The sequence below is a fragment of the Homo sapiens genome, chromosome 1 (assembly GCF_000001405.40).
Source record: "Homo sapiens chromosome 1, GRCh38.p14 Primary Assembly".
NCBI classification, from domain to species: domain Eukaryota; kingdom Metazoa; phylum Chordata; class Mammalia; order Primates; family Hominidae; genus Homo; species Homo sapiens.
Genome location: NC_000001.11, coordinates 21,506,179 through 21,531,497, shown reverse-complemented (window position 1 = coordinate 21,531,497; position 25,319 = coordinate 21,506,179). Strand labels below are relative to the sequence as shown.

The following is a 25,319-nucleotide window of genomic DNA, read 5'->3' as shown; positions in this document are numbered from 1 at the left end:
CCTCAATTAACTTATGGCTTATCACTAAGCCCACATTTTCATGAAACCCACAAAAAGTATCTTGCATAAAGCAGCCCAGGAGGATGGCACAAGTGTCTACTGAGATAAAGTCAAAGCATGGGCTGGGCCATAATTCCAGCACTTTGGGAGCCAAGGCAGGAGGCTCGCTTGAGCCCAGGACCTTGAGACAGCCTGGGCAACAAAGTGAGACCCTGTCTCTTACAAAAAAATCAAAAAATTGGCCGGGCGCCGTGGCTCACACCTGTAATCCCGCACTTTGGGAGGCCAAGGCGGGTGGATCACTTGAGACCAGGAGTTCGAGACCAGCCTGGCCAACATGGTGAAACCCCATCTCATCTCTACTAAAAATACAAAAATTAGCCGGGTGTGGTGGTGGGTGCCTGTAATCCCAGCTACTCGGGAGGCTGAGGCACGAGAATTGCTTGAACCTGAGAGACAGAGGTTGAGCCAAGATTGCACCACTGCACTCCAGCCTGGGTGACAGAGCAAGACTCTGTCTCCAAAAAAAAAAAAAAAAAAAAATCAAAAATGATCTGGATGTGGTGGTGCACGCCTGTGGTCCCAGCTACTTAGGAGACTGAGGCAGGAGGTGTGCTTGAACCCAGGATGTCGAGGCTCCAGTGAGCCATGTTCATGCCACTGCTCTCCAGTCTGGGTGACAGAGTGAGACCATGTCTCAAAAAAAAAAAAAAAAAAAAATTCAAAGCTTGCCAGCAAACAATGTGGAACTGCAGGAATTGGGAGGGGACCGACAGTCACTACAGGGGGCCTCTACAGTCACTCCACCACCCCTTCCTTTCCAGACCCCAGTCTGAAGAATTCTGACCTAGGCATATAGCCCCTTCTCCTCACTGTTTCTCCCTGGGGTCTGAAAGAGAGGCCCAATCCTGTGGAGTGAGTCACTGGGGGAGGGAGAATGGTGATGTCACACCTAGTGAGAAACCAAGTGGTTCTGATGTCCAGGGATTCCCGTCCTGGCAATGTCGTCTCCTTGGACTCATTGGAACTGGGCGACTAGGGTCAGCCTTAGACTCTTACCAAAGACACAGCATCAAACAGAATAGCTGAAATCCCCCACGGAGTAAGCTCACAAGTTAAAGAACAGAGTATCCAAGGAGCACAATGACTTCAAAAGAAACCCAAACTGATTAGAGATACCGCTGGAATCATCCGTATTAGATCAGATTTACTGAGAATTTAAAATAAGCAAAAATCGTAATTGCCTAGGTTTAGTGATGTTTTGCTTTTCAGTATTTGGGACTGATTTGAGAGGGAGGATCCAGGAGCCATACGTTTTCCCTGGCTGCTAGTTTTAAGGGCAAGAAGTGCATGGCTCCCCGAATCCCACCCCACGCCACTACCAGCCATAGCACAATGAATTCTAAAGAAAAACCATTAACAGGACCAGATGCGGTGGCTCACACCTGTAATCCCAGCACTCTAGGAAGCCAAGGCGGGTGGATTACTTGAGCCCAAGAGTTTGAGACCAGCCTGGGCAACACAATGAAACTCCATCTCTACAAAAAATACAAAAAAAATTAGCTGGCCGTGGTGGTGCACAACTATAGTCCCAGTTACTCAGGAGGCTGAAGTGGGAGGATCACTTGAGCTCGGGAGGTCGAGGCTGCAGTGAGCAGAGATCACGCCACTGCACTCCAGCCTGGGCAACAGTGGAGACCCTGTCTCAAAAAAACGAAACAAAATGAAGCAAACAAAAAGTCTCCATAAACTGTGAGAAACATGCAAAAGAAATGAGCAAAGATGTTAGCAAAACAGAAAGAGGAATGGTTAAAAGACCCCAGTGGAAACACTCTATGTGAAAAACCAGTTGAAATAACAAACACATAAGTAGAATAAATTACAGAGTGTATCCAGCTGCTGAACGATGGAGGAGAGAGCTAAGTTATTAGCTTGAGGACGCTTCCAGGAGGAAGCAGGGAAGGATTAAGAAACAGAAAATTGGCCAGGCTTGGTGGCTCATGACTGGAATTCCAACACTTTGGAAGGTCCAGGAAACATGGCAAGAACCTCATCTCTACAAAAAAAATTATTTTTTAATTAGCCAAGTGTGGTGTGCACCTGTGGTCCCTGCTATTTGGGAGGCTGGGGTGGGAGCGTTGCTTAAGGCCAGGGGTTGAGACTGAAGTGAGCCATGTTCATGCCACTGCACTCCAGCCTGGGTGACAAAGTAAGACCCTGTCTCAGAAAAAAAAAAAGAAACAGAACATTGAAAGAAAAGTTAAAAGAACATTAACCCCAATCTTACTGCATTAATTTGAGATTAACCATAAACCTAATTGTAAGTCAGAATCACAAAGCTTCTAGAAGAAAATATAAAAGGATATCTTCATGACTTTGGGGTAGGCAAAGAATACTGACTCCATAATATTTTCTTTTTTTTTTTTTTGAGATGGAGTCTCGCTCTTGTCACCCAGGCTGGAGTGCAGTGGCATAATCTTGGCTCACTGCAACCTCCACCTCCTGGGTTCAAGCAATTCTCTGCCTCAGCCTCCTGAGTAGCTGGGATTACAGGCGCCCACCACCACACCCAGCTAATTTTTGTACTTTTAGTAGAGACGGGGTTTCGCCATGTTGACCAGGCTGGTCTCGAACTCCTGACCTCAGGTGATCCGCCCACCTCGGCCTCCCAAAGTGCTGGGATTACATGTATGAGCCACGACGCCCGGCCCTGACTCCATAATATTTTCATGACTTTGGGTTAGGCAAAGAATACTAATTCCATAAAAGAAAAAAAAGGTAAATTGGACTTCATCAAAATTGAAAACCTCTTGTTATCAAAACATACCATTAAGAAACTGAATAGGTCGGCCGGGAGCGGAGGCTCACGTCTGTAATCCCAGCATTTTGGGAGGTCAAGGTGGGTGGATCACAAGGTCAGGAGTCCGAGACCAGTCTGGCCAATATGGTGAAATCTCATCTCTACTAAAAATACAAAAAAAAATTAGCCAGGCATGGTGGCACATGCCCGTAATCCCAGCTACTTGGGAGGCTGAGGCAGGAGAATTGCTTGAATCCAGGAGGCAGAGGTTGCGGTGAGCTGAGATCACACCACTGCACTCCAGCCTGGGTGACAGAGCGAGATTCCGCCTCAAAAAAAAAAAAAAAAAAAAAAACTGAATAGGTCAGGCATGTAATCTCATGCCTGAATAGGTCACTCCTGTAAATCTCAGCACCTTGGGAGGCCACGGCAGGAGGATCGCTTAAGCCCAGGAGTTCGAGACCAGCCTGGGCAACATAAGGAAACCCCATCTCTACAAAAAATACAAAAATTACCTGGGTGTGGTGTTGTGCACCTGCAGTCCCAGCTACTTAGGGGGCTGAGGTGGGAGGATCACTTTATTTGGGGAGGTTGAGGCTGTATGAGCAGTGATCGTGCCACTACACTCCAGCCTGGGTGACAGAGCAAGACTGTCTCAAAAAAAACAAAAAAACAAAAAAACAAAAAAAAAAAAAACACGTACACACAATGAAAACATCCTAAAGGTTTAGCAAAAAACAGAACACTTACAAATGGAATAAATGTCGAATTGACCAAACTACAGAAGGAAAAAAAGATTGAGCTGGGAATTTTCTATCCAGCTAAACAGCCATTCAAATGTTAAAGGCTGGCCGGGCGTGGTGGTCATGCCTATAATCCTAGCACTTTGGGAGGCCGAGGTGGACGGATCACTTCAGGTTGGGAGTTTGAGACCAGCCTAGCCAACAAGGTAAAACCTTGTCCCTACTGAAAATACAAAAATTAGCCAGGTGTGGTGGCAGGTGCCACTAATCCCAGCTATTCAGGAAGCTGAGGCAGGAGAATCGCCTAAACCCAGGAGGCAGAGCTTGTGGTGAGCCAAGATCACACCACCACACTTGAGCCTGAGCAACAGAGCCAAAACTCCACCTCAAAAAAAAAAAAAAAAAGTTAAAGGCTAATAAAAGTTACAGCATCAAGGGCTCAGGTTTGTACAAAAAGACAGCCCCTCGCCCCCTCCAAAAAAAGAATCAAATAATTTTAAAGGAATGATTTAATTAGGAGCAAATTCCACAGATTGTATTCAAGATATCTGAAGACTGAGCAAATAATTTAGTAAAGTTTAGTTTTTCAAAACAAATTCAAGTTCAAAGAAAAGAACAAGAAGGGCCGGGCGTGGTGGCTCACACCTGTAATCCCAGCACTTTGGGTGGCTGAGGCAGGCAGATCACCTGAGGTCGGGAGTTCGAGACCAGCCTGACCAACACGGAGAAACCCCGTCTCTACTAAAAATACAAAATTAGCTGGGTGTGGTGGTGCATGCCTGTAATCCCAGCTACTCGGGAGGCTGAGACAGGAGAATCGCTTGAACCCGGGAGGCAGAGGTTGTGGAGAGCTGAGATCGCACCATTGCACTCCAGCCTGGGCAACAAGAGTGAAACTCCATCTCAAGAAAGAAAAGAAAAGAAAAGAAAAGAAAAGAACAAGAATAACATAGATCTGTAACTCAGAATTAGACAATTTTTTAAAAATCTAGACAATTTTCATGTGACATCATGGGGGCTGAGGGGAGCATGTCAGTGAAGGGTGTGGAAACTGAAGAGAGGCAGGGGAGCAAGGGACATGAGAAAATGCTAATCTTGTCTTTGTAGGGAAAAGCCACAGATAATTTTTTAAAGTGATAAAACAGAAAAAGCAGAACAAATTGAAATAAAAATGTAGGATGGTAGAAACAAAATACATAAACACACTTTCTTTTCAGGAACATGCAAACATTTAAATAATTCATCACCTACCAGGCCAAAAAGTAAGTCTCACAGTTCAAATAATAAGTTTTCACATAGACCACATCCTGTGACCATCAATTAAGTGAGAAGCTAAGCGTTTACAAGTATAAATCATTACCCCTACACTTAGAAATGAAAAAAAGTCCCTAAAAATTTCAAGGATCAAAGAAAAGTCATAGTAGAAACTTAAAATTACTTAGAACTGAATGATTAAAAACACCACATATCAAAAATTATATAATGCAGCAAAAAAGGTTAAAAATTAATAAAGTAGGCCGGGCGTGGTAGCTCACACCTGTAATCCCAGCACTTTGGGAGGCCGAGGCAGGCAGATCACCTGAGGTCAGGAGTTTGAGACCAGCCTGGCCAACATGGTGAAACCCCATTTCTACTAAAAATACAAAAATTAGCCAGGTATGGTGGTACATGCCTGTAGTCCCAGCTACTCCAGAGGCTGATGCAGGAGAATAGCTTGAACCTGGGAGGCGGAGGTTGCAGTGAGCCGAGATGGCGCTATGGCACTCCAGCCTGGGAGACAGAGACTCCATCTCAAAAAAAATAAATAAATGAAATCTGCTGTCTCCAGAAATCCTTTGCGGCCATTCTGCCCAAGGCTTAGCTAGGTGGCCTCTCATGCTTTCCCTCATCCTCTACCACCTAGGGCTCTGTGGGGGAGTCTGCTTACAAGACCATTTCTGTACACACTCTTTTTGTTCGTTTGTTTGAGACAGAGTTTTGCTCTTGTTGCCCAGGCTGGAGTGCAATGGTGCCATCTTGGCTCACTGCCACCTCTGCCTCCCAGGTTCAAGCAATTCTCCTGCCTCAGCCTCCGGAGTAGCTGGGATTACAGGCACGCGCCACCATGCCCGGCTAATTTTTGTATTTTTAGTAGAGACGAGGTTTCACCATGTTGGTCAGGCTGGTCTCGAACTCCTGACCTCAGGTGATCCACTGGCCTTGGCCTCCCAAAGTGCTGGGACTACAGGCGTGAGCCGCGGAGCCCAGCCTACACACACTCTTTGAAGGCAAAATCCAGGGCAGATCCATCTGTGATTCCAGCACCTAACCCTGGGCCTCACAGGCAGTTGGGCTAATGAGATGTTTGTTGAATCAGTGAATGTCCTCCCGCACCCGTCTTTCCCCTTCTTGACTGGCTTCCTCCTCTCTCCACCCTGACAAGTGCCAAGACGCCAGCACCCAGGTGAGCACGCCAGGAGAGGCCGCTCCATCAGGAATTTCCTGAGCAGGGGCAGCCTTTTTCTTCCTCCACTCAGCTTTCTCCAGGTAGATGGGACAAAGCCCAAGACAAGCGCTGCCTCCATCACAGGAATAGTCTGGGGCCTGGCCCAGCCAAGTCTATGGGCCATGCATTTTTCCTGTATTTTACCCTCGGTGGCTGGAGCGTGTGGCGGGATGAGGAGGTTGGCAGGCTTGCCTCAGTGCCCCAACTGGGGGCCTTGCCCAGCTGAGCTCCGTTTGGCCAGAGGCCAGCTGGGAAACACTTGATTATTCAAATCATGTGGCCGCCCAAGAGGAAAGCATCCGTTTCCTCCAAGAGGGGGAAGTGGGGCAGGCAGGCCAGCCCAGGGATTTGGTTGTTGAAAAGGGAAATTTCAGAACAAAGTTCTCACACAAACCAGCACTCTGAGATTCACTGCCCCAGGAAGACTCTGGAAGCCTCAGATAGAAACTCAGGAGGGTCAGGCTCGAGGCCAGAGCCCTGGAGTGAGGCCTGGACCAATCCCCCACTTACGTTTCTGAGTTAGCAGAGGCCTCAGCCAGGCTAATTGCTCTGGCCTCCCCCTGACCCTGGTCCTGGAGACACCAGGACTGCCCCGCCATGCCCCTTCGCCTGTCCTTCCCTTCCCCCAGGAATCGCGCAGGGGATAGATAAACTCCGCACTTCTAAGCTCAGGGAGCTGGAGCCTCGGAGCCTCCCAGCAAGTGTCACACAGTCTGTTCCTGCTATTTGCTCAACTCCTGCCTTGCTCCCCCTCCCCAGATCTGGCTCCAAAAGAACTAGCAGGTTCAAGAAGAGTGTACCCATCTGACATGCAGAGAATTATCTAGTACTCATTAAGTGAGACCGGACTCTGGAGCAAGGCTGCCCGGGTTCCAATTCTGGATTAACCCATGTATGAGCTATAGGACCTTGGGTGATCCCTTCCCTTCCTTTGTGCTTCTATTCATTTTTTTTTCTTATATTTTTTATTTTTAGAGATGGGATCTTGCTATGTTGCCCAGGCTGGAGTGCGGTAGCTATTCACAGGTGCAATGATATCTCACTGCAGCCTTGAAGTCCTTGGCTCAAGCAATCCTCCTGCCTCAGTCTCCCAAGTAGCTAGGACACAGGCATGTGCCACCACTCCCAGCCTGTGCTTCCATTCTTTACCTGTAAAAGCAGAGATTTGGGCCGGGCGCAGTAGCTCATGCCTGTAATTCCAGCACTTTGGGAGGCTGAGGCGGGCAGATCATGAGGTCAGGAGTTTGAGACCAGCCTGAGCAACATGGTGAAACCCCGTCTCTACTAAAAATACAAAAATTAGCCAGGTGTGGTGGCACGCGCCTGTAATCCCAGCTACTCAGTAGGCTGAGGCAGGAGAATTGCTTGAACCTGGGAGGTGGAGGTGGCAGTGAGCCGAGATCACGCCACTGCACTCCAGCCTGGGCGACAGAGCGAGACTCCATGTCAAAAAAAAAAAAAAAAAAAAAAGCAGAGATTTGAGTATCTACCCTTTGGGGAGGTTAGATTCAGGAAATGACAACTCTTGCTATTATCAGTGAACAAATTAAGGTTTCATAAAAGAGCTAGGCCTGGATCTCTGGACCAGACAACCCCATGGCAGACACATCCCCCCTCACCAGAGCCAAGCCCTGGGTCCAAATCCCAGCTCAACCACCCACTAGCTCCACGAGCTGCTGGGTGGTAAGTTGCTACCTCCCTGAGCCTCCTTCTGCCCCAGAGCTGTTGCAGGCCTCCCCATGTTGGAGGGTGGTTGTCCCTGTTACTGCTTGTCCTGGGCAGTACCCGGGGATTAGGGGGCTGACACATGCTGGGCTGCCCCAGGCAGGGGTGAGGTGACAGATCAGTTTCCTTTCCTGAATACCGGTCTGGGCCCAGCCTCAGGGTGTGACATAGGGGAGGCCCCTGAGGAGATGGGGATACTCCCCTCCGCCCCACGGATCATATAGCGCCAGCATGCACCCTGGCACAGGCCTGCTGCCAGTGGCCAACCTGGAGCAGAGGTACCAGGAACTACCCAGCAGGAAGCTTCACGAGTCTTTACAGAAGGAGGCAGGACAGCAAGATGCCACAGCCTGAGTGCTGGTGTTCACACTCCAGAGCTATCATTTACTAGCCATTTACTGGACAAATGAGCTTATTCCCCATTTTTGTTTTTGTTTTTTGTTTTTGAGATGGAGTCTCGCTCTGTCGCCCAGTCTGGAGTACAGTGGGACAATCTCAGCTGGCTGCAACCTCCGCCTCCCGGGTTCAAGTGATTCTCCTGTCTCATCCTCCTGAGTACCTGTAATCTTGAGGGATTACAGGCACCTGCCACCACATCTGGCTATAATGTTTTGTATTTTTAGTAAAGATAGGGTTTCATCATGTTGGCCATGCTGGTCTCAAACTCCTGACCTCAGGTGATCCACCCACCTCGGCCTCCCAAAGTGCTGGGATTACAGGCAGGGGCCACTGCGCCCAGCCCAAATGAGCTTATTTCTGAGCCTGGCTCCCCATCCGTGAGTGGGGACAATGACAATAATATCTACCTCCTAGGGCTGATATGAGGATTAAATGATTAATGTATCTGACTTGCTTGAACAGTGCCTGCCACTCAGTTAATATGAGCTGTTACTGTTACAATGATTTATGACCGCTGTCATTTCTTCTCTAAAGTCCCCCCAGCACCGAGTTTCCTCCAGCAGATTCGGGGCTCCCTCCTGCCAGCTTCTGCTCAGATCATGATTGGCGCCTATCCCACAGATGGTGATCAGAAGACCTATTGTGTGCCCGACACTGGATGAGGCATTTTATAGTCAGGGACAACATGACCGCTTGACTCGCCTACTACTGTTCCCGTTTGTTCTAAGCCTAGGATCTGGGGCGTGAGGTGTGTGTTATGGGAGGAGGCTGGTAGGGGAGGTGGTTCCCATATTATGTTATTTGGAACACACATGTCCTGGGAGATATTAAAATATTTGCACGTGACACCAACCAGGTGACCTAGGAGACATGAACATAATCTCTCTGAGCCTCAGGTGCAAGGATAAATGAAAAAATACATGTGAGCTGCTTAGAACACAGCCTGGTTCATGATATATTTTAAACAAACCTGGCCGGGTGCAGTGGCTCACGCCTGTAATCCCAGCACTTTGGGAGGCCAAGGCGGGCGGATCATGAAGTCAGGAGATGGAGACCATCCTGGCTAACATGGTGAAACCCTGTCTCTACTAAAAAATACAACAAAAATTAGCTGGGCGTGGTGGTGTGTGCCTGTAGTCCCAGCTACTGGGGAGGTTGAGGCAGGAGAATGGCGTGAACCCAGGAGGTGGAGCTTGTAGTGAGCCGAGATTGCGCCACTGCACTCCAGCCTGGGCGACAGAGCGAGACTCCATCTCAAAAAAAAAAAAAAAAATGGACATATGTATTGGTTACTCCTCTGAGTACCTCTCACGGAGTCGACACATGAAACTGAGGCACAGAGGTCATGCAAGTGACCTTTCACTTAGGGACTCTCAGTCTCTAAGAAATGTTAACTCGCTGCGAGTATTCATTCATTCAACAAATATGTATTAAGTGCCTACTATGCACCAGGAAGCATGGTACATGCAGATTCAGCAAATTTACAGCTATGACTATTATTATTATTAAAGAAATTAAGGCTGTTTGGGATTGGGGGTACATCTGTGAACAAAATGGACAAAGACATTGGCCAGAGGTATGACACTGGGCACCTCATACCTGAGTGAGACTAAAGGCCTGAACTGCCAACAGGAAAACTGGACCCAGAGACACTGGCTTGTCCTGCTGCCAATCACTAACCATTTATGAGCTGGTGGCATTCGTGCAAGGACACCAGTGAAGGTCTGGGGAGGGTGGCCAGGCTTCGCATTGAGTGGCTCAAGAGTCACACCCAGTGGGGCATCCCTCCCAGGCTTCCCCATGGTAACAAAGCCAGGCCAGCTGTGGAAACCCTTGCCGAGTGGGGCAGCCTTTCATGAACTCAAAAGTCATTAAATGGGCTGTTGTAATCCCAGCACTTTGGGAGGCCAAGGCAAGTGGATCACCTGAGGTCAGGAGTTTGAGACCAGCCTGGCCAACATGATGAAACCCTGTCTCTCCTAAAAATACAAAAATTAGCCAGGCGTGCTGTCAGGCACCTGTAATCCCAGCTACTCAGGAGGCCAAGGCAGGAGAATCGCTTGAACCCGGGAGGCGCAGGTTGCAGTGAGCCGAGATCGCGCCGTTGTACTACAGCCTGGGCGACAGAGCAGACTCCGTCTCAAAAAAAAAAAAGTCATTAAACGCTTGCTGAAAGCAGGCATCTTATTAGGCATGGGAATTCACGAGTGACTCAGATGGGGCTCCTACCCTCCAGGAACTGAAACTCAGAGCCAGATGCTATGTGGATGATCAGATTACAAAGGGTTCAAGATATCCAAAGCAAGCTCTAGAAAAACAGCCATGATGCCAACTGGCAACACAAACAGGGAGAGGTTGCTGCAGGGGAGGGGATGGCAGGTACAAAGGCAACGATGAGAGAGACTGGAGACACAGCTGGGGAAAGACCTTCAGCCTGGGATCCTGACCTGAGTTTGAGGCCTGGTTTTACCATCAATTTTACCTCAGGCAAGTTGCTTGCCTCCCCAAGCCTCAGTCTCCCACTTTGCAAAATGATGTGAATACTTTATTGGGTTGCTTTGATGGTTCGGTGAGTTCATGAATAAGAAATGGCTTTCGGCCGGGCACCGTGGCTCCCAGCACTTTGGAAGGCTAAGGTGGGCGGATCACAAGGTCAGGAGATCGAGAACATCCTGGCTAACACGGTGAAACCCCGTGTCTACTATAAGTACAAAAAATTAGCCGGGCGTGGTGGCACACCCCTGTAGTCCCAGCTACTCCAGAGGCTGAGGCAGGAGAATCACTTGAACCTGGGAGGCTGCAGTGAGCCAAGATCAAGCCACTGCACTCCATCCTGGGCGACAGGGCGAGACTCCGTCTCAAAAAAAAAAAAAAAAAAAGAGAAAAAAGAAATGGCTTTAAAAACTGAAAAATATGCCAGGCCTGGTGGCTCACCGCCTGTTAATCCCAACATTTTGGGAAGCTGAGGTGGGAGGATTGCCTGAGCCCAGGAGTTCAAGACCAGCCTCATCAACATAAGCAAGACCTCATCTCACAAAATAAAAAATAAAAAAAATTAGCTGGGCATGGTGGCACAAGCCTGCAGTTCCAGCTACTCGGGAGGCTGAGGCAGGAGATCACTTGAGCCCAGGAAGTCAAGGCCGCAGTCAACTATGATCGTGCCTGAACTCCAGCCTGGGTGACAGGGCAAGACCTTGTCTCAAAAAACAAACAAACAACAACAACAAAAAAAACCTGAAAAATAGAATAAGTGCCTGGAAACTGAGGTTGGCAGTGTTAAAGTGACTTGTCCAAGGTCAATGGCTGATTAAAACAGGATAGGGTGTATCTGGGTGGGATGCGGGGGGCAGCACAACCCCTGCCTCTGCTGAGCCACCACTCCTGCGTTCCCAGCACTGACCTCAGGTTCCCCTAGGCAATTTGTTCCAGAAGGCCTAGGGAACAGGTGGGGTACCTAATTCCTTGGTGCAGGGTTTACCGTTTATTCGCTGTGTGGTCCGGGGCCCACCACCCTCCCTCCCTGAGCCTCAATCTTCTTTTTGTTTTCTTGAAATGCAGTCTCACTCTGTCACTCAGGTTGGAGTGCAGTGGCACGATCTCTGCTCACTGCAACCTCCGCCTCCCGGATTCAAGTGATTCTCATGCCTCAGCCTCCCACATAGCTGGAATTACAGGCATACACCACCACGCCCAGCTAGTTTTTGTATTCTTAGTACAGATAGGGTTTCACCATGTTGGCCAGGCTGTTCTTGAACTCCTGACCTTAAGTGATCTGCCCGCCTTGGCCTCCCAAAGTGCTGGGATTACATGCGTGAGCCCTTGTGCCCAGCCTCTGAGCTTCAGTTTTCTCCCTTTTAAAAAGAGATGCCCTTTGCTGTGCTGCGCATGTGTAAACGTGGAAGGCTCTGCCGATGGTAAAGCACTTTCCACGGGCAAAGACGTATCGCACTCATCAATGAGAAATGATCATGGTAAGCTGAGAGAAAGACGCAGAGGCCGCGGGCCCCGCACTGAGCCTGCGGTGGAGGAAAGCAGGAGGAACTAAGCTAGACTGTACCAGGGCCCACCCCAGGTGTGGGGTAGGAACCTTTTATGAGGCACAGAGCTGTGCCCATGTTCAGTCCCAAGGGAGAGGCAGGTTTCTGGGCCTCATCACTGCCTAGGCTTAAAGTAAGAGTGACGAGAAAGAGGCCAGTTTCAGCCTTTGTGAGCGAAGTGCTTTGGCGAGGCAGGGGTCTCCCTCAGCAAGGCTGGGCTACACTACAGCCCCTTTCCCTGTGTCCCACTGGATCTGAGCTGAGTAGCGCTTGTTGCATTACAAAGAAAAAGACTTGTGCAGGAAATAGGGTAGAGGACAGGCTCTCTAGTCAGATGCAACTTGATCTGTGGCAAAACCAAGTGGGGTCTTTCAGCTTCAGTGTGTTAGCATCTCAACACCTGGGATGGAGTTTGTGGGCGGGTCGGTTTTGCCACACTGTAGGGCCCAGGTGGTCCCACTGTCACAGTGAAGCCAAGTTCTAGCCCAAGTCTGGCAGAGCAGTCAGGCAGCTAGTTTTCAGGGGAGAAAAAAGGGGTGGGACGGGGGACTTCAGTGGCCTATTACGGAGCCCTCTCCCCAAACCAAATTCATAGCTGAGAGCTTGGGGATGGTACAGTTACAATTTAAAGTAATTGTCTAAATTCTGTATTTGGGTATTAATGTTTAAATGGTAATCTGACAACAGTTTATAAAGTGATGTTCTGAATACCATAAAAAAAAGAAAGAGCTCAGTTTCAGGTCCTCCTGGAAAGAGTTAGGCTGGCCCCTCCCCATCCTTTGTAATAATATCCATCGTAGTAATAAGAGTTATTTATTCGGGGTTTGACAGATATGAATTCAAATCGTAGCTCCGACACTTACCAGCTGGGCAAACCCAGGCTAATTACTCTGAGTCATTCTCCTCACCTGAAAAATGGGCTGGTATAAGGATTAAATGTGTAAATGTATACAAAGCATTTCGCAGAGTGGCTTGGTGCGTAACAAGTGGTCCGTCAGTGTCGAGAACTCTTATTACTACTATGGATGTTATTACAAAGGGTGGAGAGGGGCAGGCCTAACTCTTTCCAGGAGGACCTGAAACCAGCCTCTTTCTCGTCACTCTTACTTTAAGCCTAGACAGTGATGAGGCCCAGAAACCTGCCTCTCCCTTGGGACTGAACACGGGCACAGCTCTGTGCCTCATAAAAGGTTCCTACCCCACACCTGGGGTGGGCCCTGGTACAGTCTAGCTTAGTTCCTCCAAAGACAAGGAAAAGAAGACCAAGGAGCACCGTGACACTGAACTGGGTGCCACCTGGGCCTATCCCTTCCCTACCCCCACCCACACAATGACCAAATCTAATCTGGTTCTGGGATGTCCTTTTATCTTGTGTGCCAACTCTATATTAGTTGCTAATGGCTGTCTGGAGCACTGTACTTAGAAGGAATCTGGGAAGGAAAGCAAGCAGTGGTTGACTAGTGATGTCTGATGTGGGTGCAGGGCAGGAGAGAGGAAGGAGACATGCTGGCTATTCGCCATCCACAAATCGAAAAATCCTAAGGCCTTGCCTCATTCAAATAAACCATGCGTGGTAGGGAGGGTAGCCAGAAGCTAAGAGAGGGAAAGGGACTTGGCGAAGGTCACACAGCTTGAAATGGCAGGGCTGGGATTCAAACCCAGGCCCCTCTGGGTTTCTCAGGATGCTTCCTTCTAGGCTTGTCATTTCCTATGAGGGGGTGAACAGGCTAAGAAACACTGTCTGGGAGAACAGACGCTGGTGCCCCACCAGGTGTGTCTATGTTCTGTCTCCTCCCCCTGGGGCCTCCCACCCCCATGTCATTTGCAAACACTCACTGAAAAACAAATGTGTACCACAAGGTGCCCTGAGAGCTCTTCTCCAAACATGCAAATTTGAATCCAGATGCCAATCTGATTGGGCAACCCTGGATTTGAGTCTCACCTGCACTTTCCAAACTTTGAGAACATTACTCAATCTCTCTGAGCTTCCGTTTCCTTGTTTGCAAAATGGAAAGAATTATGAGCTCAATACAATAAGGTCATTCAAAGTGATTAGCTCAGTTTCTGACACAGAGTAAGCCCTTAAATGTTCATTACAGACTGTCCCCAACTTACACTTAAGATTTTTTTCTTTACGATGATGCAAAAGCTACAGTGTTCAGTGGAAACCACACCTCGAGTACCCAACCAGCCATTCTGTTTTTCACATTCAATACAGTATAGCCAAGAAATTGACATGAGATAGTCAACACTTTATTATGAAATAGGCCTCGTGTTAGATGATTTGCCCAACTATAGGCTAATGTAACTGTTCTGAACACATTTAGGGTAAGTCAGGCTAAGCTACCATGTTTGACAGGTTAGGTGTTATAACCATTTTCTACTTATGATATTTTTCAACTTACAATTCCAGGACAAAAACCTTTGGTAAATCAAGGAGCATCTGTATAAGGATTAGGTCATGGGGAAAAGCAAAAAAACAGCATTTTCACACACAAAAAAATCACTTAGGTGATTAAGGGCTTGGACAAGCTGTTGAGAGGAAACCTGCTTATCTCTGATATCTTGATAGGCTAACAGACCTAGAATATGAATTTCTATATTGGATGGTTTTAAGATAAATAGGGAACTGACTCTTCTAGGAAGATGGGTTATGTCATTTGCATTACGGAGAAAGCAGTAGCCTTGAATGGATGGATGGGTCACCGCAGGGAACAAACATGTCTACTTCTCACTTCCCAGCTGGGGGAGTTTGTGTTTCCGTTTCCTCATCTGTAATGTGGGGATAATAGCACCTGCCACCCAGCGCTGCTGTAGGACCAAATAGTAATTACAGGCAAGGCACTGAGCACCATGCCTAGTACGTGCATGTTGGGCTTATAGTCTATGGACTTTTAGTTAGTAGTGGCATGGCAGGGACCAGCGGAATGAGGCAGAGAAAGAAGAGGAGCTATAGAAGGGCTCAGAAGGAGTGGAGGAGGGGAAATGGGCCTCAGATGAGACATTTTCTCACCAGAATGGCGGCAGACGGGTCAGTTAGTAACTCCTGTATGCTGAGAGACAGGTAAGTCAAGGTGGAGACAGGTGGAGACAGGTGGAGGGGGATGAGATCCTCCAAAAGGCCAGGCTGGCCAGATGCAGTGGCTCACACCTGTAATCCCAGCACTTTGGGAGGATGAGGTGGGAGGATCACTTGAGCCCAGGAGTTCGAAACCAGCCTGGGCAACATTGCAAGACCTCATCTCTACAAGTAATAAAAAAAATTAGCGGGGCGTGGTGGCGAATGCCTGTGGTCCCAGCTACTTGAGAGGTTGGGGTAGGAGGATTGCTTGAGTCCAGGAAGTCAAGGCTGCACTGTAGTGAGCCATGATCGTGCCACTGCACTCCAGCCTGGGCAACAGAGCCACTAGACCCTGTCTCAAAAAACAACAACAACAAAACAAACAAACAAAACAGACAAACAAACAAAAAAACAACAAGCCTGAGACACTTCAGTGACAGCCAGCAAGAGGCCTGAGAACGTCAGCCTGAGAGCTAAGTGGTACCCACCCTGTGGCTTTACTGACCTAGTAAAGGTGCACTAAAGAAGGCAAGAGGTTGACCCAACAAAAAGTCACTGGGGCCAGGTGTGGTGGCCCATGCCTGTAATCCCAGCACTTTGCGAGGCCGAGGAGGGTGGATCACCTGAGGTCAGGAGTTCAAGATCAACCTGGCCGACATGGCAAAACCATGTCTCTACTAAAAATACAAAAATTAGCTGGGTGTGGTGGCATGTGCCTGTAATCCCAGCTACATGGGAGGCTGAGGCAGGAGAATCTCTGGAACCCGGGAGGCGGAGGTTGTAGTGAGCCGAGATCACGCCACTGCACTCCAGCCTGGGGAACAGAGCGATACTCAGTCTAAAAAAGGGTCACCTGGTAGATCTTTTTAAAGGGTGCACTTGTGGGCCAGGCACAATGGTTCATGCCTATAATCTCAGCACTTTCAGGGGCCAAGGTGGGTAGACTTCTTGAACCCAGGCTGAGCAACATAGCAGGGCCCCATCTCTGCAAAAATAAAATAAAGGTCACACTTCTGGTTTTTCCAGTAAAAGCAATTTGCTTCAGCCACCTAAAAACTTTTTTAAAGAACATAAAATATTTGCTGAGCTCTGCCCAGCAGTTTGCAGACCTGGCCAGGTAAAGTTCATGCACCTGAATGACAAACTGAGCTCTGGAAGGATGAAGAAGCATCTCTGAAACAAGCTGGAGTGGAGGAGGAGGGGGTGGCTTAGAAAGTCTGGAGGGTCAGGGCCTCACTACAGGGTCTCCACGGCCTTATTTCCAGAAATGACCTTCCAGCCTGTCCTCTCCTCCCTTCCCTGGGTCAAAGCAGAGAGGCATAGAGACCTAGGGGAGGAGTAATCCTAAGGTGTCTGCCCTCTGAGCCTCAGTCTCCTTAACTGCAAAATGCTGGAGAGTAGGGGGTAGGTGAGTATCAAAGGTAATGTGCGAAAGTGCCTGGTACCCAATGGTGCTCACAAAATGCCACTTCCCACACAGGGCACATTTCTGAAGTCGTCTGCAGGTGTAAGGACCAGGGGATGTGAGGTTAGTATCAGCAATCGACAATCAATCAGTCTCCCTTGTCCATCTCATAACCCCTGGAGCAGTTGATTCGTGGAGACCTAGAATCTCACATCACAGCAGCTGCCTCCAGAGCCCCCCGCATGTAACCATCAGGCTTCACAGCCTCCTGTGCTACCCTCTGGCTCAGACATGGCGATTCTAAGATGCTTGCTGCAGCCACCATGGTACCTGCCTGTCATCACCAGGCCCTGGCTCCCAGCAAAGGGGGTGGAACAGAGAGCTGTGGGTTCAGAGTGCAAGATCGTGTTTCCTGTCTGAGAAGTGGTTATGCACTGATGCACAGGGCTGTTAGGGAGCACAGGGTGAAGTGGCGCACCAATGCACAGGGCTCTTGGGGAGCAAGGGGTAAGGTGGAAGCTGTCAAGGGAGTCTCTTCCCTGCAGGGGCTGTGCAATCTTTAGAATGAAGTACCCAGCGATGCCTGTCCCCAGCTAGACCCTGGGCTCAACTCGCTGAGCCTTGACAGGTAGATGCTCTATCACCCCCAAACCTCCAGAGCCCTCAGACTCTTCCTGAGGACCACCGAAGCAGGAAAAAAGCTCCTTCGCCTAGCTGACATGTTTTGTAGATGTTGCCAGGCTATGGAAGAGGGGCTAGTGTCCACGTGTCCCATATTCTCACCCTGAGCCCCCTGAGGGCTGGCCCAAGCCCCACACAATCATTCAAGTGGAATTTGAGCCCCTCTTACATGGCCTCACTGCATCTAGCCCAGAAACCGCAAGCTCAGAAGGTAGGTAGGTAATGTCAGGGAGGCAGGTGGGCAAGTGTGAGGCAGTGGGGCGTGGTGGAGACTGTGGTAAAGTGGATGGAGCAGCTGCTAATCAGCTCCAGCCACTGTGGCCAGGCAGGGACATAGCCCCATATGGCCACATCTTCTGATCTTTCAAGAGAAGCCAGAAATCCTTATCTTTATATAAAATGAAATTGCCTGGTTTAAAAACACCAGCAACTAAATAAAAGTTGTTTAATCACCGCAAAAGTCAACAATCCCCCACCCCCTGCAGCCTTAGGAAGGCAGTTTGTGATGGATCTCCCATAACCCAGCACACAGCAGGCTATAAATATCTGAGGACCAGTTGAATACATTAGACCCATTCCAAGTCTTAGGGAAGTCTCATCTCTCCACTCCTACTCCTCAGATATATTGGTTTACAGATGAAGAATCTGAGACTCAGACAGGGGAAGTGACTTGCCCAAGGTCACAGAGGTATTCAAGGACTTCAGCTCAGCTCTCCTGAGCTTAATATCTTTTTCCACCAACCCACATCATCTGCATCCTCCCTTAAACAATGATTTTCAAAAAACAGATATGCTAAGAATATACTGTAGAAATGAAACACACCAAATTCAGGAGAGTGGTTGCCTTTGGAAAGATCATGTAGCTTAAGGCCAGGAGACTGAATTCCCAGTCCACTCTGCCCTAAGCAATTGTGTGACCCTGGGCAAGCCTCTTCTCCTCTCTGGGCCTCAGTCTCCCTGGTGCACCAAGAGCCCAGTTGACCGAGCCAGCTTCTAAAGGCCTTCCAACTGAAATTCTGGGGATCTATGTCTCCTCTCTGGCCAGTACTCTGTGGCCTCAGATGAATACAAAATAGTAATAATAATAATAATAATAATAATAGAGAGGGCGAGTCCACACCAGCCAGGAAAGAACACTACGACTTTTTGTGAAACCTGACTCCTGGTTACTGGAATTCAGAAAGAACGATGGTAATACTTGAGCAGCTTAACCACCATCCTACAATTAAACAAAAGCACATCTGGTTTAACTTCGTCCTCATCTCCTCCCTAACCCCCTACTCTCATCTCAAATTTTACCCCTTAATTTGAGAAGTCAAATTCAATGCAAACAATTGATTTCATGCCACAGTGAGGCTGAGAATTTAAGCATGGAAAACTTTAAGCATAGAGTTTTTCTGGGAGCAATTAACGAAGTGTTGGCGGGGGGGTTGGGAGCTGGTACAAGGAGGCAGAAAAATACGGAGACTATGTTCTTCAGACACTGAGCATCATATCTTGATGTTGGGGGCCTCCTATGAGCTTGACACTCAGAGAGGTAAAGTGACTTGCCTCAGGTCACACAGCTGGCGATTGGAATCCAAGACACCAGCCCCCAAACCAGTGTTTTCCCTGCTGTGTAGGCTTTTGTGACCTAAACGTGGACTTCCCTCAGGCCCTCAGGATCACCTGGTAGGGATAAAGTTAACTGCTTTTGAAATTGCTCCACAGGAAATATGAATGTCTTAATAACATCAATGCTGGTTCAGCCCAAAGTTGGAAAACCATTTATGATCTTGCGACCCTGCAAAGTATATAATTTTAACCCATATTGCAGATGAGAAAACTGAGGCTTCGAAAGGGAAGGTGACTTGTCCAGGGTCGCATGGCAGTGCTGGGAATGAACCTTCAGTCTACTGCCCCTAACTGCCCTCTGAAAGTGAGGACATCTCCAGAAGAAAAAAAACAAATCTAACATACCACAAAGCCCAGCTCCAGCCTGCCAAGGACGACGACATGGTGCTGGGAAGCCAAGTCAGCATTCCTGTGGCCACATGGAGATTTCTGAGTGCTGGTTCTCAGCCCAGCTTGCTCACTCTCCCAGCAATGTTCTCTCAGAGCTCTGGGTTTTGTATTAAAAAGCCAAGTCAGACTGATTTCAAGGTGAGAACTCGGGCTCTGCTACTGGATCCTACTCCCTGGATTAAAAGGCCTCATATGCCCAGAGATGGGTACAGCATGGAGATTGCTAGATTTGGAATTCTAGATACGCAGGCTCCAGCCCCAGCTCCTCAGGTAGCATCTGTGTGCCTCTGGGCAACTCACTTCCCCTTTCCAAGATCATATCCAGCTTGCAGGGAATGTTGGGTATGTAAGTCATGGGACAGAACAGGGCTGAGTTTGGTCCTGAGCTAGGACACGGTGAGGCACAAGAACAGGCAGAGGGCAGGAAGCGCTGCAGAGATGATGGCTCCAGGGCTGATCTCATCATGGAGCTCTGCGCTCCCAGCCCAGGCTGTGTTTAGGATGGCGACAGAAGGTGGCATCTGAGTGTGAGCAAAGAGGGCACCATGCCACCCCACATGTGTAGCCCAACAGGATGGGAAGGGCCTGGGCAGAAGTGGGTAACAGGTTCAGAGGCAGGGTAGGCACATAACCCAACTTCCAGTCTCCGCATTGCATTTTCTGCTGAGAAGAGAGCTGAGGATAGCCAGGATTTTCTTAAGCACAGGTACCAGCTTAAACCCTTCGCAAGCATTCATCATATCTAGACCTCACCACTGGTAGGCACTATTGATCTCCACAGCTTATGGGAGGAGGCCGAGGCACAGAGAGGGAACAGAACTGATCCCAGGTCCCACAGCAAGGCTGCCTTTGCTAAAGTGAGGGCCAAAGGTTGGCCAATCCATTTTACAGGTGATTGCGTCTTAATCTCCTTCCTTATGAATAGCTTGATTTCAAGTCTACACTGTGAATTCTGACAGTTTCAAAGCCTGAAAGAATTTTGTTATGCAAACATCCAATCCAGAAGAGGGCTTTTGGCTGATTTACTGTGGCATTCCCGGCACCTAGAACAGAGCTTGGCACACGGCGGATGCTTAAGTATTTGCTGAATGAAGATAGCATCTTGTTCTGGCCTCAGTTCAGTTTTATTCCTCACAATAGTCCCGAAAGGGGAATACACCCCTTTTTACAAATGGGCACATGGACCGGGATCATCACTCAGCCTAGTCTTCACCAGTTGGGATGTTGAGAAGCTGTGTCCAGGGGCCTCTTCTGAGGGAATTCACAGGTATTCAGTTAAAGAAAGAAAAAGGTGACACAGGAACAAGATGCATGGGGCCAGGGAGTGGGATGGCTGGGGCAGGACAGCGTGGGGACACCCACAGGTGGGGAGGACTAAACAGTTGGAAAGAGCAAGACTGGAGAGTGGAGGAAGAGCGGGCTGAGCCCAGGAGGAGCCGGAAGACAAAACCAAGGCTCAGCCCCCTATCTCTTAGGCAACACAGTGGGAGCAGGACGCTAGGGCTGCAGAGTTTGGAGTCTGGATTCAAACCCTGGTCCCACCACTTACTTAAATTGTCTAAGCCTCAGTTTCCCCATTTGTAAAATGAAATGATGTACATGAGATGTCAGAGCAGGTCCCTCTACGCACGGTAGGCCTTCAAAAAACAGTTGCAGTATCTACACTGAGGCTGGGACCCAACCCCTGCCTCCCTGGGCAGCTGGGCCCACCTGAGCGGTCTGACTTTTTCCCAGGGCCCAAAGCCCTTCCTGGCCCAAGAATCGCCCCCTCTTTTGATCTCAAGGAATTTCACCCTCCACCCAGAGGCCTTTGTAAAGGCCCCGCCTTCGACCCCATTATGTGTTGAAAAAGAGTCATAAGGCACAATGGGGAGTGGGGGAGGCTTTCCTCGGCCTCCTGCCTTTCTGCTGAGACCTGCGTTTAACCCTTTCTTACCAAGACTGGGCAGGGAAGCAGCCCTGGGAGGCCCACCTCGCAAAGCCTAAAGGGGGCGGCAGGCTCCTTCGGCTTCGCGGGCTCCAGAGCTTTGCCCCACAGCTGCGGTGCCCACAGTGGGTGCCCACACTTTGACACCCACGCGGGTGTCCTCTGTCTCCTCCCGCCACGCCCCCCATTCCAAGCGCCTCCTGCCCTCTCCTCCTCCCAAACCAAACTGCTTTAGACCCCACCGGGTCAGGTGGGACGCCTGGGAGGGCGCCAGGCCACGAGGCCTTGGGGTTGGCAGCCCAGGTCTCTAGAGCTACGGCTAAGGAGGCACCAGGAGGGGCTCAGTCACGGGGCACCAAGGGCAGGTGCCCAGACAGAGCGCAGGGTCCCAGGCAGCGGCTCGGGAGGTAGGAGACCCTGGGACTGCAGGGCGGTCCCGAGCGCGGTCCCCTGAGTTCGCCGGCTCCGCGGGCGCCACGTCCAATCTCCTGTCCCGCCCAGAGCGCGCGCCGGGAGCTTGGGATGCGCGGGAGGACAGGGGCAGGACCAATTGCAGGGCGTCCCGAATGGGCTGCTGTGGGCGGCGTGGCGCTGGAGACCCCGGCCCTGCCATTAAAGTTCAACCACGGGGCCAGCGGAGGATGCAGAAGGGGATGGACCACGTCCGCTGGGGCCCTGGGGAACCAGGGCGCGGGGCAGCGTCGAATCCTTACCTGCGCAGAGCACTGGCGAGGGTCCGTCCAGGCACAAGCGCGTGGGAGCACGGAGCCAGGATAGCGGGCGCGGAGTGGCGGGAGCGCAACGCGGCCCGGGCCACCACCCCCGCCGCCTTATAAAGGCGGCCGCGGGGCCCGAGTGAGGCCCGGGCAGCCCGCCCCCTCCCCCGCCCCCGGCCCCAACCCCTCCCCAGCCCGGCCCCGGCCCCGCCCCCGGCCCGAGCCCCGCGCCCCGCGGGCCGGTCGTGCCACGAGGCCAGGGCGCCCCCTGCCGGGAGCGGAGCTAGGAACGGGCTGGGGTGACGCGGCCCTGGCGTCCCTCGCCCGCCCCGCACTCTCGGTCTCTCTGCCTCCGGGCTGCCCCAGCCCAGCCCTTCCTCTCTCAGCGAGCCTGGGCTCTGACCTGCTCCTTGCGCGCGTCTCCTGTTTTGTCTTTACCGTCGGCATCTTCCTTCTGCGTCTCTTGGTGGGAGTCTTTGTCTCCACCCGTCTCTTTGTCTGCCTTCCTCTCTGGCGTCTGTCTCTGTGTCTGTCAACATATCTGGCTTTCTCTGGGTCTCTGTCTTTATCCGTCTCTGCCCACGTGTCCCTGTCTCTCTGTCTCTGTCCACGTGCACCTCTGACTCTGCACCCCCACCCCCGCTTCCCTGCCCGTGGGCTGCCTCCCTGGCTACCGCAAGAAGAAGCAGAAGGGGACCTCGGAGGGGTGGCATCTGGAGGGAAACCACCCCCTAGACAGGGGCCCTTCCCTCTTTCTCTCTTTAGAGACGTAAAGGGCCCGCAGGTGTCCGGCTATGTCCCAGCCAGAGCCCCAGGACATGCTCCCTGGATGCCAGAGGAGGGGCAGGCACTTCCCAGGCAGTTGAGTCAGACAGCTCAAGTTCAAAACTCTGCTCTGGTGACCTTGGCCAAGTCACTTGACCTATGTGGACCAGCCTGCCCCTCTTTAACAGGCAGACACCATCTCCCCTGGCCTCTCGCTGGTGCGAGAGTCATATGAGACAGTGCTTGAAAACTACAGAGGAAACGCTAAAATCCCGGATAGACGGGAGCCAGGGACAGAGGCTGGGTGCTACAGGCCCTGCTCCCGCTCCTGGGGAACCAGCTCTGATGGAATAACCACTCCCTTTCCTCTGAGCACTGAATTCTCTGGGCAACTTCGCAGTGAGAAGTCCGCAGGCTCTGTTTGAATGCCTCCAGCGACAGAGCTCACTGACTCCTAACAGGAGGGTCTTCTCAGTGGCCCTTGGGAAAATGTCTGCCCAGAGAACCAATTTTAGCCAGGTCAGGCAACCTCTCTTCCACTCACTCCATGCCAGTCTCAGGGCCAGGCACTGTGCATGCATTAACTTCCAAAAGCTCCATTTTCCAGAGGAGAAAACTGAGGCCCAGAGAGATCATGTGACTTCTCAGTAAGGTTGGAGCCAGAACTGGGGCCTGGTGCCAGAAACCAAGAATGTCTTTGTATTTATTTTTGTTTCTTTTGTATTTTTGGTTGATACTGTTTATTTAGAGGCGTGACATAGGTTCCCTTTTCAGATAAGTTTATGTTTTTTAAAAGTGAGTCAAAATATTGAGTAAATACTATTTATTTATGTATTTCATGGGTTGGGTGATATGGCAAAAATCATGGAGGTAGCAAATGAATGGAGTTTAGGAAATACCATCCTCTGTAAGAAATTGCAGGTGAAAGCACCCAGCACTGGGCCTAAAACATGGGAGGGGCTCAATACTTGCTCACAAATGCCAAGGAAGGGTTTAAGGATTCCAGGAGACTTAAGATGGTATCATCATCAGTGAGCCAGGGGCAAGTCCCCAGGCATGGAAAATCTGCCTGTTGCTTGGACAGAGGCTGGGAGGCAGAGCCAGAGGGAATTGGAGGCACCCATTGCACCTATCATGGGGCCAGCACCCCTGACTTTTTTTTTTTTTTTTTTTTGAGACAGGGTCCCACTCTATTGCCTAGGCTGGAATGCAGTAGCATGATGTCAGCTCACTGCAGCCTCGACCTCCCGGGCTCAAGTGATCTTCCCACCTCAGCCTCCCCAGCAGCCAGGACTACAGGTGTGCACCACCACGCCCGGCTAATTTTTGTATTTTTTTGTAAAGAACAGGGTTTTGCTATGTTGCTCAGGCTGGTCTCGAACTCCTAAGCTCAAGTGATCCCCCTGCCTCCTTATCCCAAAGTGATGGGATTACAGGCATGAGCCACCACACCCGACCCTATCCCTGACTTCTGATCTCCCCAAAGCTATGAGGGACGGGCACTTCTGGTTGAGCCACATGGCCAGCATTAGGTCCCCCATGTCTGTGATTTGCCCTCAAGTCCCTCCACCTCGGGATTTCAGGGATTGGTTATCAGCAGCAGGGACTATACTGCTTGGCCAGCCCTGCCACCTTCCACCCTCAAACCCTCTTACTCTGCTCCTGGGCTGGGTCCCTCAAGGAGAATTCAACTGAGATGGGGCATCCAGCAGCCCTTGCCTCCCCTGCTCCCCGGGTGCCCCTCCTCCTGGCTCTGTCAACACAGCGGAAAGAAGTCCTGGACCTGGAACCAGGAGACTCCAGTCCATCCTCCAGCTCTGCCCTGGCTTGCTGGGGAGCTGAGCAAGTCACTTTTCCCATCGAGGTTCAGATTCCTTCTGGCCTTTTGAACTGGACAATCTCTAAGTGCAACCCAGATGCCATGATTTCAGGACCACTCAGCTGGTGGCAACAGCTCATTACATTCGATTTCTCTCCATCATTGTCCCTGGGGCACCACTTCCTTGTTGAAAACTAAACAAATTGGATTTAACCTCCAAGCTCCCTGTGCCTAAGAGCTAATGATGTCTTTTGAGTCTCACAGCAGTATCATAAGGTGGGCAGGGCAGGTGTTTACAATCCCCACTATACATGGGGTACACCAAGGCCAGAGATAGTAGTTACTTACAGGTCAGGGTCAGAGCTGGGTTTGGTTACCAGGTTTACTATTCCCAGTCCAGGGCTTTTTCCATTCATCCATTTATTCCGTATCTGTTAAGTGCATGCCATGAGCCTGTGCCGCAAGCTAGACCTTCAAGTTCACTAGGCAGGCCAGGCATGGTGGCTCACGCCTGTAATCCCAGCACTTTGGGAGGCCAAGATGGGAGGGTCTCTTGTGTCCAGGAGTTAGAGTCTGCAGTGAGCTATGATCACACCCCTGCACTCCAGCCTGGCCAACAGAGTGAGACTTTGTCTTGGGAAAAAAAAATTTAAGAGGTTCACCAGGCATTAGAATTAGAAGCTAAGTTAGGCCGGGCGTGGTGGCTCATGCCTGTAATCCCAGCACTTTGGGAGGCTAGGCAGGTGGATCAC

At 50.3% G+C, this 25,319-nt stretch overlaps 1 protein-coding gene across 5 annotated transcripts in view, besides 4 other annotated features; it reads right to left on the bottom strand.

Annotated features, from left to right (window-relative positions):
• The window catches only part of ALPL (alkaline phosphatase, biomineralization associated), a 69,427-nt gene extending 46,913 nt beyond the window's left edge, over positions 1-22,514 (bottom strand). For 3 of the 5 annotated variants that reach the window (NM_000478.6, NM_001127501.4, NM_001177520.3), the window contains exon 1: positions 21,981-22,075. The gene's annotated coding sequence lies outside the window, so the exon portion shown is untranslated. Of the gene's footprint in view, positions 1-21,980; positions 22,076-22,386 lie in introns of those variants that run through there. The other 2 variants (NM_001369805.2, NM_001369804.2) reach the window with 2 other exon arrangements.
• Positions 7,722-7,781: an enhancer, noted in NCBI's record as "active region_334". NCBI's record gives its function as "activates an Ori minimal core promoter by ATAC-STARR-seq in GM12878 lymphoblastoid cells {active_cell/tissue: GM12878}" and the evidence as "EXISTENCE:reporter gene assay evidence [ECO:0000049][PMID:35858748]".
• Positions 20,992-21,561: an enhancer, noted in NCBI's record as "H3K4me1 hESC enhancer chr1:21836430-21836999 (GRCh37/hg19 assembly coordinates)". NCBI's record gives its function as "activates a minimal SCP1, AML or CMV promoter by ChIP-STARR-seq in naive H9 embryonic stem cells {active_cell/tissue: H9 hESC(naive)}" and the evidence as "EXISTENCE:reporter gene assay evidence [ECO:0000049][PMID:30033119]".
• Positions 21,562-22,132: an enhancer, noted in NCBI's record as "H3K4me1 hESC enhancer chr1:21835859-21836429 (GRCh37/hg19 assembly coordinates)". NCBI's record gives its function as "activates a minimal SCP1, AML or CMV promoter by ChIP-STARR-seq in primed H9 embryonic stem cells {active_cell/tissue: H9 hESC(primed)}" and the evidence as "EXISTENCE:reporter gene assay evidence [ECO:0000049][PMID:30033119]".
• Positions 22,168-22,267: a silencer, noted in NCBI's record as "silent region_383". NCBI's record gives its function as "represses an Ori minimal core promoter by ATAC-STARR-seq in GM12878 lymphoblastoid cells {active_cell/tissue: GM12878}" and the evidence as "EXISTENCE:reporter gene assay evidence [ECO:0000049][PMID:35858748]".